Below are 12,940 nucleotides of genomic sequence, written 5' to 3' on the forward strand. Positions count from 1 at the left end.
CAGTATATAAAATATTCAAATTTTTTGTTTTTAAAAAATTATTTAAGGGAGATTTTATATATTCTTGGAACAACAAGCTTCTAGATAGGAGTGATTTTATAATGTTGTATTTTGTATAATAGGCTTTTTTAAGAGAAGTTTTAAGTTTACAGAAAATACAGTTCCCATATACCCTCCTCCCTACCTACACGTACACAGTTTCCCTATTATTAACATCCTGCATGAGTGTAGTACACTTGATACATTTGATGAATTACTACTGATACATTATTGTTAACTAAAGTCCGTAGTTTCCATTAAGGTTCACTCTGTGTTGTATAGTTCTATGGGTTCTCACAAATACATAATGCCATGAATCTGCCATTACACTGTCATACAGAATATGTTCACTACCCTAAAAATCCCTTGTGCTTCACCTTGTACCTCTAGATAAGAGTGATTCTATAATATTGCATTTTTATGTGTAAAACTCTAATGTGATTGTAGTTTGAGCATAAAATTCTATTTTATGGGTATTTCAAGATTGATTTAGGAGCTAGAATAGCATGATTCTTCTTAGAACACCTTTAGTATTCTTTCATTGTACATTATTTCTATTAATTTTTGTGGGTACCACTGTAATAAAGTAAGAATTTAAAGCCTTGTTTTTAACTCAAAAAATTTGCATTTTAATTTAAATTGATAAATGAGTGAAAAATAATACACAGCATTAGATGACAGGCTAGCAGGCAGTAGGATTAAGTGCTGAATGAGTGACACCAATAAAATTGGGGAGGTGTTCAGTGGAGTGATCATACACAAGGGCAGAGGTTAAGACAGAAGCTAAGTGGATTAGGAGGGGCTTGAGAGGAGTGTGATATGGATAGGCTGAGAGAAGGGAGAGCATTCGGGCAGGTGAAAGGGCTGGCCAAAAGCTCTAGAAAGAGGAATGTCTATGCTGTGTCTCTATGCTGCTCTTGGAGCACAGGCAGTTTGTGAGGCTATGTTTGGTCCCATTTGCTAAAAGCCTTTGCCCACATTCCTCACTGGGAACATGCTAATTTCCTGGTGGCACTGCAGGTAAGCAAGACTCACGTGCTCTGTTCCCAAGATTCGCAGTCTTTGCCTTCTCAGCTCTCCTTACCTCAGCCCTGGAAAATGTCTTCCTAGTTTAGACACAATCTTTTCACTTCATATTACTCTGCTTAGGGATTCTAATATAGACTTATGTTTTCCGGGGGCAAAATTGACAAAAAGGGAAGTAAATATCATTTTTTTGGTTTTGTTTTCTAGTCTGTTTCAAATGCCTTTTAAGGCAAAGAAATGCAGGGGTCTCCATGTTTTGTGTGGATGAGAGCAGAGGGAAGAAACGGATAATACAGGAAGAAAATGAAAACAACTTAGATTAAAATCTCAAAAATATCATTTTATCACAGAAATGACTGGACTAAAATATCCCAAGCTTGTCTCAAAATTAATTTTGGAACCAAAGATGTCTGATGTTACCAAGATAACATCTTGTCACAGTCTTTTAGGGAAGTAAAGAGCAATTTCTAATGACAGGGGATGAAAGACTGAAGAATGAATGAATTATATTTGCTGTTACTAATGATTTGCCTTTATTAGTAACCTTCAACCATGAGGTAGCAGAAGAGGCAATAGGGCAGGTTTAATAAAGAGGTCCCAGCACTGGCAAGGGGGTTCAGTGCAATTCACCCAGTAAGACTTGCTAAGGAGACAAACTGGACTTTAGAGGGAAGTCTGGAGCAATTAGAACAAGAAAGTAAGTCTTTTAAGTCATAGAAGGAAATTACATCAGAGTAAAAATAAGTATCCTAACTCCAGTAGGCAATTTGTAACACGTAGAACTTTAAGAAGTTGGAAAAATAAACATAAAAAGGCCATGTGCAGTGGCTCACGCCTGTAATCCCAGCACTTTGGAAGGCTGAGGCTGGTGGATCACCTGAGGTCAGGAGTTCGAGCCCAGCCTGGCCAACAGGGCGAAACCCCGTCTCTACTAAAAATACAAAAATTCGCTGGGTGTGGTAGCAGGTGCCTATAATCCAAGCTACTCGGGAGGCTAAGACACAAGAATCACTTGAACCCAGGAGGCAGAGGTTGCAGTGAGCCAAGATTGCGCCACTGCACTCCAGCCTGGGCGATAGAGCGAGACTCAGTCTCAAAAATAATAGTAATAATAACAACATAAGGAGACAGTAAAAAGTCTGTGTTGTGATTCCCAGGACACAAGCTACTTATGCTTTGCCCCTTTATAAAAATATACTCTACCTAACTGAGTGAGGAAAAGACTGCTCTGGAGGCTGGCATTCATCATGCTGGGACCGAGAGCTTGGATGTGTTAGGGGTGAAGCTGGGGTGAAGTAGCAGAGATTAGGGAGAGACTACTACACTTGCACTATGTTATTCTGAATCAGAGAGGAAACACTCGGAGTTATTTAATGGTTTCATTTACACTAAAACACGTAGTCTTCAGTATCTAGAATATTGCCTGAAACACAGTGGCTGTGTAGTAAGTGGTAATTAAACCCAAGAAATTATGTGGGTATAGCTAATGTAGGAGTCACAACTCATTAATAGCTCTTTTTTTCAAATGGACTAAAACAACATACATTTACTATTTTACAGTTTCTGAGGGTCAGGATTCCAGGCATGGCTTAGCCTGGACTCATTCAATGACCAACAAGGTATCTTCAGGCTGCATTCCTTTCCTAGGTTCAGAGTTCTCTTTCAGGCTCACATGGCTGTTGGTAGAATTCAGCTCCTTGCAGTTGTAGGACTGAGGTCCCCATTTCCATGCTGTCATCAGTAAGGGACCCTACTTGCCTCCCAGAGGCTCCTGCAGGCACTGTCACAAGAGGGTAGCTTATTTTCTGGAGGTCTTTAGGAGGGTCTAATTGAAGGCTTTCATCTGATTAAGTCAAGCCCACCCAGGATAATCTCCTTACTTTTTGATGAACTCAAAATCAACTGATTTAGGAGCTTACTTACATCTGAAAGGATCCTTCACCTTTGCCATATTCTTGTCATGACATTTTAAAATTCAGCCTGGACCAAGGAAAACCCAATTGTCCAAAGTTCTCTTGTGTTAGCTTGTGGAGAACATTGCAATATTATTATCATTCCTAAATTTCTTTGTATCTAAATTGAAATATCACAGACATAAAACATTTGTGAATTTTAACCACATGATCAGGTATCATAGAATCATTAATTCATAGAACGTTAGAGAATAAATATAAAAACATTAGTCCTATTTCATTCACCTACAACTTGTTCTCTGTTAGCGAATGTACAAATAATTCATTTTCAGAAACGTAAGCATTCAGTATTAAATGGAAATATTTACAAAATGTTAGACTAGAGATTAATTGGGATTTACTGACATTATCATAGAAACTCAAAATTCGGTCAAACAAAAATTTTAGTCATATCCCAAACGCTTTTATCAGATTTTCACAGAGTATGGTGAATATCATCATTCACGCCATAGACACTGCCATTTTTCAACAAATACTACTTGAATGAACATTTTGATCTGTGAAAATGCAAGGTTAGCTCTTTCCTTGGTTTTATTTTCATTTTTTCAAAGTATTTATATATTATGTAGAATACATTTTCTGGAAATACTTTTAAACAATTCTTGAGGTAGGGTACTTTGTTTTCCTGTGGGATGAAGGAGGTGATTTATAGTAGTTATAAGTCTGTCCCTTTAAATTTTTATATTCTCAACCTGCAAAGAATGAAATCTCAGCAAATAAAAGTATGTCAGTGGGAAAACTCACAGTGATTGTTCTCTGCTGGAAGGATTAAGTAAATGTAGAGTTTCAAGCAGGCTTAGGCAGTGAACTGTAAAAGACTAAGGGAATGTGAAGGTAAAAATCTATCTTCCCTCACCAACTGATCATGTTGCCAGTACCATACTCTGGAAGTAGCAATGAGGTTACCTTTCCTTTCCTTTTCTCTGCCTCTCCAGCAGCTGAGAGTTGAACCCTCAGTACCAACACCTGCTGACAAATCAGGGCACTGCTTATGGTTAGTAACAGGATAAGGCATGTAACCTAAGAGTCTGGCCACTGCCTTTTAGCTCTTTCAAAACGAGGTTCCTTATGACTTGCAATACTTGCCTTCCAAGTTTCTTATTGAGGGTCTAATGAAAGAATATTTACAGAAGAGTTTTGTAAACACCATATAAATATTAGTATGTATGATATTCCCTCAGGAAGTACATATATATATATAAATACACACACTGTATATACACTGTAAGAATCTAAATTAGTTATTTCTTTTTATAGCAAAATCATTTTAAAAACTGTTGTCTAGTAATAATTCTGTGAACTTGTGTACTGCTTTTACTCTTGTGTACTACTCTGATGTACTTTTTATAATAAAATAACATAAAAATTTGTCTCTACCACTCCAGAAACTGAACTAAGATTCTTAATAGGTTAATGCCTCATTCATTTCTCAAAACAATCATGAGACATAGGTATTGTTATTTTAATTAACAAATGAGAAAACTAAATGCTAGGGGCTGTCATTGAATTTAAAAACAAAAATCTTCTTGATTCAGACATAAGAGGAGAAACACCAAATTAGGAACACACACCTTTGGATTTACGATAGTTAAAATCATAAGCTGGTGGCTGAGATATATATAATAATTTAATTGATTGACAGACATTATTATTCTCATCGGTAGAATGAGGAAATTGAAGATGGGGGCGGTTAGTAATTTGACCAAGCTGAAGATGAGAACCAAGACTTGAATTCAGATAGGCTTGAGCTAAAACTTTTGATATTTCCATTTATTTATTTATTCAGAAATATTTCCAGAGTACCTTCTAAGTTATAGAATTACTGGGCAAATTGCCATAGCTACTTCTGTCATGGAGTTTCAAGTTGACAGATAAATAAGAGTTAATCTACCTACCAAATAAGGAAATGGAACTGACTCATAATTCAAGTATCAGCAAAATCTCTCCCTAGAGGAGATCCTTCCCCTCAATAGTCATTACCACTCTATCCTATTATAGTTTCATCATAGCACTTATTTGTTTGTTGAGTTGCTTTTTGGTTTATTTTTTGCATGTGTTCCACTAGGACAGAAGCCCCTAAGATCAAGGATCTTATCTAATTGACTATTGCTCCCCAGTGCCTGGAATCATGCCTACTTATCCCATCATTTAATTATTCATTAAATGTTTGTTAAAAGAAGTGAAAGAAGGACTCCTGAGAAGTACAGAGTACTAGGAGAAAGTATTTTACCTGATATGAGAAATCACAGATATTTGAGGGAGTAAGATTTGTACTGCAAATCTGAAGAATGAATGAGGTTCTAAAGGAGTATGTGTGTGGACACATGTGCACCTATATGTTGGGAAAGGGGGCAGCAACAAGCTTCAGGTAGAAGAGGAAGTGTGTGCCAAGGCCTGTGGTCGGGCAGAGCATGCCAAATAGGAAAAAAGGAGAAAAGACCAGCCCAAAGAGCCAGCGCAGTTCAGTGCAACACTTGGCGGAGAAGCAGGCCAGGCTAGAGGCTTGTAGGAAATTCGACTTTATCTGAAAAGTAATGAGGAACCATTGAAATATTTTAATCAGGAAAGAAGTTTGAGTTTTGATGTTTGAGTTTTCAGCAAGACATATTTTCAATGTGAAGAGAAGAGAGAAATGGGTCAACCGGATAGAGACATCCCACTTTGGAGTCTCTGCAACAGTCCAGAAATGAAGCCAAAGGAACTTTGCTAACCTTTGATTATGGTGATAAGAAAAGTTGTTGAAATCACGAGCTCTTTAGAAGGTAAAACTACTCAGAGTCTATAATAGAGGTGGAACAAAGAGCAGAGGAAATAGGGGTGGAAGGGATGACTATTAGGTTTCTGGCCTGTGCAATAGAATGGGCGGTGGTACCATCTCTGATGGGGAACATGGCAGAGCAGGTATGGAGGGACATGCATGCCTGCCTTTCCTGTATATGTGATATCTCATTGATACTGAAAGGTTCCGTAGAGTACAGATTTTATTTATGTGTACCAAAGCCTGAGAATTTTCAGAAAGGATAAGGGCATAGCCTAACAACAGAGCTGAGGTACCCTGATTTCAATACTCTGCATGTGAACCATAATATTGTTTAAATAATTATTATATTTCAAACTAGTAAAAGATTACATCCGTATGACCACAAATCTTGAAGTAATTTTTGAGCATTTTTACATTATTAAATTCCTATATGGATCTCAATTTCTAGATTGTGTTTACAACTATATTAATTCTAAAGATAAAAAGATATATGCCTTCACAAGGTTTTCTTTTCATTTTAGAATCAAGCATATTCTGAAAAGTATAATTAACTATTTTCATTTTAATACATCTATCTGAACATTTCCAGGAATTTCAAAGAATAAAGGAAAACTAGAAATAGGTAAATATTGGAATAAGAACATCCGGTACCTAAAATGTGAAAGAAGAATGGGATCTCATTATACAATATAAAAAGGATTACAAAACCCACAGCACAAAGGAGGTCTGTTTCTTTTCTTTTGATGTGTCTGTGTAGTGAAACTGCAATTAGTGGTAATAGGAGTTGCATGTGTAACTCAAAGGAGCTTGATGCAAGATTGCAGCAGGGTACAAAATGGTACAAGCAAAATCTCATTCTCATTACCAACATATAATTTTATTGTCTCGTTTAGATAACATAATTTTTCTGTTATCAGAATTGTCCAACCCATTACATCACAAATGCAATTATAAATTCATTATAAATCACCTAAGCTGATAAAAAATCAAATGTAGCAAATTAATATGAAGTCAAGGAGAGAGAAAGTAAATGGTGGTCAAGTTGTATATGAAATTTACCTTTGTGGTTACAAAGAAGACATGCTTACACTTAAATACTCTGTTCTGATACAGAAACATCTTTTTTAAAATTGGGTTTTTGTTTTAAAATGCTGTTTTTTCTTGGGCAACAGACAATCCCTTCAATTTTGCAATCTGGCATTCCCTTCTTCCTATAATTTCTGCAGTGTTTTTCTAGAAATATCCTGCTTTGGACACTGTTGGTTTTGTTTCTTTCTGTATAGAACTTGCTTGTAAGTTAACATCCATTACACACATCAAACATGTGTAACCATTTAATTGGTATGGATATCATACGTGTATATAACACAAGTCTAAAAAACCAGATGGTCTTCTATGTTGAGTATTAACATATACATCATATCACAGTACACAAAAAAGGCTTTTTACTTAGCAAATTTGTTACATATATCATAGTATTTACGCTATTTATCTTCCTTAAAATGTATTTGACTAATTTTTAAGTTAAATTAATTGATTCAGGCAGTTTCCATTCTCTTCTGCATTTTAATGCATATTCTTCTGTCACAGAAAAAAATACATTTTCACCCTCTAAAGGATTTTTATGTTCATTATATAATACATAATAAACCTATATTAATAATTTTGCCGAGAATATCATGGTGAAATATACATTAGCTTGAACATTGCATCTCTTTTTTTCCCCTCTAATTTATTTAAGTTACTTGCTTAAATATAGAAAATGGTGTCACAGATTTACTCACACTACATTTAAATCTAAAGCAAAAATATAGTCTGCTTATTTTTGTCTACTACCAGTCTGAACTTGAAACCTGAACTTTCTGTGTTGTTGCAGCAGGGGTGGGCCGGGTTGGGGGCGGGGAGATTGCCCAAATTCATTTTAAACATAATTTGAGCAAACACGTAATAGTGTTTAATGCAGGGTTTAATCTCTTTAGATAACAATTCTCTGACTTTCAGACTAAACTAACCTTCTCTCCTTTCTAAGATAGCACTTAACTTAAAAAGAAAAGTCACCCTAGGATCTGCCATGGGTTTTGGGACCTACTCTGCTCTGCCCCTGCTGACCTGATGGTTGTGTAACCCGGTCTGGAAGTCCTTGGGCTTTGATCGCGATTGCTTCCCATCCTCTTTTGAGACTTCATTTTGAAAGAGAAGCCAGCTAAAATTCTTGCCTTTTTGCTGGGTGGGGAGACGGAGTGTGGAAAGAGTAGGTCCTGAAGGTAGAAAATGCCTAATGACTGAGAGATACAATAGATGGAAACTCCACCAAAACTTTCTCTGCTGAATCCCTGTAAGTCCACATCCATTTGCACCTGGCTTTTTTCTTGCCTGTTAACACAATGCAGCAGTGGTCTGCTAACTTTAGTATAGGTGAGAATCACCTGGAAGGCTTGTTAAACCTTAGATTGCTGGGTCCTACCGGAGAATTTCTGGTTTAGCAAGTCTTGAATGGAGCTTGATAATTTGCAAAGCTAATAATTCTCAAGTGAGGCTGAACCGCTGGTGCGGTAACCTTTCATTTAGAAGCGCTGCAGTGAAGCAGTATAACTTTGTACCAAAGATTTGCTACATTTCATTCTTTTCTGTCTTCTTAAAGATCTTGCTTCATTAACTTTTCCTTCTGTTTCTCTATTCTTCAGTCTCTTTCTCTCTAGGGAATCCTTTGAATCAGGATACAGGCATGGCCTACTCTACTTTTACAAAAGCAAAACACAATAAAATTCATACACAACTACAAATAGCTTTCTTGGATCCAAGCTGCATCTCTAGCTACCATATAATCTCTACAAAGCCATGCTTCTTGGAGGAGATTTTTACTCATGCTTTAGCTATTTCATTACCTATTCTTTGTTCTAGCTTTCTGCAATTCAGGTTTTGCTTTTACTACTTCTACCACTACACCATAACTCCTGGTCTGGTTAATGTAAAAAACCTTATGCTTTTATGGCATTATTTTAGTTTTTCTTAGCTAGGACCAAATTACAACTTATGAGAAAATGAAAATTTGAGGGAATTTTAATAACTTGTGGATTCAGGTTCATAGTAGTTCTGCCAGTTATAAGTTGGGTAATTACAGGCAAAGTTTGAATCCCTCTGAGGCTCAGTATTTGCAAATGTTAATGGTATCTGTCTTGTAAGGTTATTTTGAGGATAGGCTATGTATATCTTGCAAGATTAGTTCTAGGCTATTGTGCATATAATGCATAGAATAGTGTTTGCAATGTAAACAGTAGATAATAGTAGTAGAAATAAAGTAATTTTGAAATTTAAAACAGAAAAATGAGATTATTTTGAGTCTGTGTTTTGTCACCATCAGAATACAAGTGGGTGCTAGTATCAATTTTCTAGGTGGAGTGCTTCAATTATACATAAATTCTAATGCTCCAAAAGAATGATCTCCATGAATTAAATGATTTGTTGAAAAGGTACCTTATCATCCAACATCTTACAGACAGGCTTTGCTGGCTCTTGAAAGACTAGATATGGGCCAAGTGCCGTGGCTCACGCCTGTAATCCCAGCACTTTGGGAGGCAGAGGCAGTCGGATCACCTGAGGTCAGGAGTTCGAGACCAGCCTGGCCAACATGGTGAAACCCCATCTCTATTAAAAATACAAAAATTAGCCTTGCGTAGTAGTGCCTATAGTCCCAGCTACTTAGGAGGCTGAGGCGGGAGAATCCCTTGAACCCAGGAGGCGGAGATTGCAGTGAGCTGAGATTGCACCACTGCGAGCCAGCCTGGGCAACAAGAGTGAAACTCCATCTCAAAAAAAAAAAAAAAAGGAAAGAAAGGCTAGATATGTAGAACTATCTAATTAACCAAGAGTTGCTTAAAGGGATATACTGGGGCTAAACATATTTCTCCCTATAATCCCTTGCTAACCACAGCCCTAAAGTCTTCTGATGATTAACATCAGGCCTCCTTTGCTGAACTGGTGAGCCTGACAGAGAACTGGCTTATGTTGGACAGTTCTGGCCACATGCTCACTTAAAGACCCATGGTCAGGCACTCCATCTTCACCAGAACCCTAAAACACACCCAGAGCTGTTTTTCAAAAGGTGAAGCATTTTCCTCTGCAGACAGCTTCAGAATCATAGAGGACTATGTTGATGACCTTATTGGGCTTGTCATGAACCTTACACATCATCTTTTCTCACCGAAGATACCTCTAATATCACAGGGTCTACTGGGTCATGTGTCCTAAGTGGCCAAGGTCCTTGCCCTCTCTAGCCTGGATCTGCTGCTGGATTCTTCTCATGCTCCATGCTCTAATCATAGTTGACAGCTTTTCATGCCACCCAGTACAGAGGCCAGAGTAATATTCCTGGGTTTTGGCATATGCTGCCTGCAAAACCTAAGGGATCTTATCAGGTGATGTGCTTTCTTCTTTGTAGTGGGAGACGTGAGGTGCAAAAATTTTTCTTTTTCTTTGGTGTTGGCCCAGCATTCCTTAAACCACATGACCTTTAAAAATGTTAGGGATGTGGCAGGCCCCTGAAAATATTTTTGGTTTATTCCCTACCCTTTGGAGCACATCTGTCTTACTAGAGCCTCCAATATACTTGTCATTTCTTATTTATTTGGTTCGATTAGCATGATGTCAGCAGTGTAACGTGCCAGCAGGATGTTCTTCAGGATGTGCGGCCAGTCCAGATTTCTTTGATAGAGAGAGAAAAACTGTTAACCTAGTGCTGGGCAAGACTGCAAATGTATGCTATCGTCACTTCCAAGGAAATGTTAATTGTTTCTGTTCTTCTTTTCTGAAGAGTTAAAAGCACACACACATTTTTCAGATCAAAGGCCTCATACCATGAACCTGAGGATGTGTTTATCTGTGCTCGCAGAAACAGCCCATCTAGAACAGCAAAGGCAAGTAGGCAATGGGGGCTATAATTTGACTGAGTCAGTAGCTGATTGTTGTCATCCAGAAGCCACCTGCTTTTGTAGGGGTTCCTGGATGATGACAGGAAATGTTATTTACATAGACATAGGGCAGAGACTACCAGCACTGCCTCCTTTAGGACAATAATTTCTGCCATTCCTTAAGCAATACAATGTTGTTTTTGATGTGCAGTCTTGACGGGGAGAACACTTTAGAGGTTCTGCTTAACTTAAACAGAGTTCAGTGCTAATGTGCCCACTCCCTAAGAATATACTTGAAATGGGACCATTAGCACTGAACAGGGTACATGAACAGAGTAGACCACTGTAAGCTAGACCGTGGCCAAGTGGGACCATTAGCACTGAACAGGATTCATGAACAGAGTGGACCATTGTAAGCCAGACTTTGGCCAAGACTTCATTTGATACTTGACCCTATATTTGCCCTCCTGCAACAGAGGGCTCTTGATGGCACTTTAGTTCCCTAGAGTTCAATGTCAACAAGGACATTGTGTCCAGTGACCTAGAAATGTTTAGGTATTCTCTTTTCTTCAATGAATAGTTACTCTGAGAGGGAAGTGAGCATTAAAGAAGTTCAGTAGGGAGTGCTAGACTCAATATCTGTGGAAGGCAGATAGTGAAACAAGATTGAACAGAGGGAGAAGCTGGGCTACAGTGCAGTTTCAACGAAGACCTCAGGGGACCCTATGTGGAGCTCTAAATGTTACTCTCTCAAGTTGTCCCACGTCATGGCGAGGAGACAGGCTTTTCTATTCCCTCTTTCACTGCTTATTGGATGGAAGCTGTCCTTGGAGAGGGAGTCTGACCACGGGCAAGATAGCTCTCCACCCGAAGGCAATTTTCTGACAGGGCTGAGAACTGAGGGTTGTCAGCCCCTAACATTCCAGCAGCTGCTGAAGATTTTCTGTTCTAAAGATGAATCTGTGTGTCACAGCCCAATACCCTTGAATCGTCAATATCTAATGTGGGGAAATGTTGGTGCTAGAAATATACCAGGCTCTCAAAATCACAAAACAAGAATAAATATAAAACTGCCTTCAAACACCGTCTTTAAACAGATTGCTACCTTTGATTGTTCTAATAATATTTTTCTTTTACATTTGAAATTGTGGTTAAAATATACATAACATAAGCCTTACTCTTTTAACCATTTTTAAGTGTATAATTCAGTGGCATTAAGTACATTCACAATGTGGTGTAACCATCACCACTCTCCATTTCCAGAACTTTTGCATCATCCCAAACAGAATCTTTGTATCCATTAAACAATAACTCCCTATTCCCTCTTCTCTCTCAGTCCCTAGAAACTATCATTTTACTTTCAGTCTCTCTGATTTTGCCTATTCTAGGTATCTCATGTAAGTGGAATCGTACAGTGTTTGTTCTTTTGTGTCTCAATTATGTCACATAGCACACAGTTTTCAAGGTTGCAGCACGTATCGGAATTTAGGCTGAATAATATTCTATTGTTTCTGTATACCACTTTCCAATTGTTACCACATTCAGCTGTTGATTCACATTTGAGTTATTTCTATCTTTTGGATATTATAAATAATGCTTCTATAAACATTGGTGTACAATATATGTTTGGGTCACTGTTTTCAATTCTTTGGGGCATAGAGTAAGAAGTAAAATTGCTGGAATAATAACTGTATTTTAAATTATAGCAATACGTAATATTTTATTCTGATGTTCACTATTGGGAGTATAATTCTTATTGTATACATAATTATATTCATTTAATAAATTTGCTTGTATTTATGAATATGTGACATTCTGCTAAGCATTTTATATTCAATATGTCTTAGATAATTACTGAGAGACAGTAAGTACAAATTAAATGGTAGTAATTGATATTTACTATGATTGCCTCATCGAATACCTATAGTAACCCCTGAAGAAAAGATGTAAATATTTTTATACTAAGTCTATTAAATGGAAAAACTGAGGCTTAGAGAAGTTATAATTTGCCTAAGATCACACAGATCAATTGCAGAGTCAGGCTTAGCCACTAGAACTGTTTACCTCAAAGACTGTGCTCTGAAAAATTACTCTGTCTTATACTTAGAGAACTATTAGATCTTTGGCCATATGTTTAGAGACCCATATATACCTTTTAAAATTTAAATTGCTTTAAAGTGTATAATTCCCAAGGGAGAATTTCGTGTGTATGTGTGTGTGTGGGGGGGGGGGGC

The 12,940-nt window shown here is 37.4% G+C and overlaps 1 long non-coding RNA gene across 1 annotated transcript in view; it reads right to left on the bottom strand.

The window, feature by feature from the left end:
- Positions 1-1,134, bottom strand: part of LOC105377331 (uncharacterized) — a 35,231-nt gene extending 34,097 nt beyond the window's left edge. Inside the window, exon 1 of the long non-coding RNA XR_939000.3 lies at positions 1,075-1,134. This is a non-coding gene — a long non-coding RNA (uncharacterized LOC105377331). The remainder of the gene's footprint in view (positions 1-1,074) is intronic.
- Between the last annotated feature and the right edge of the window lie 11,806 nt (positions 1,135-12,940).

Source organism: Homo sapiens, chromosome 4 (genome assembly GCF_000001405.40).
Source record: "Homo sapiens chromosome 4, GRCh38.p14 Primary Assembly".
Classification (NCBI taxonomy): Eukaryota; Metazoa; Chordata; class Mammalia; order Primates; family Hominidae; genus Homo; species Homo sapiens.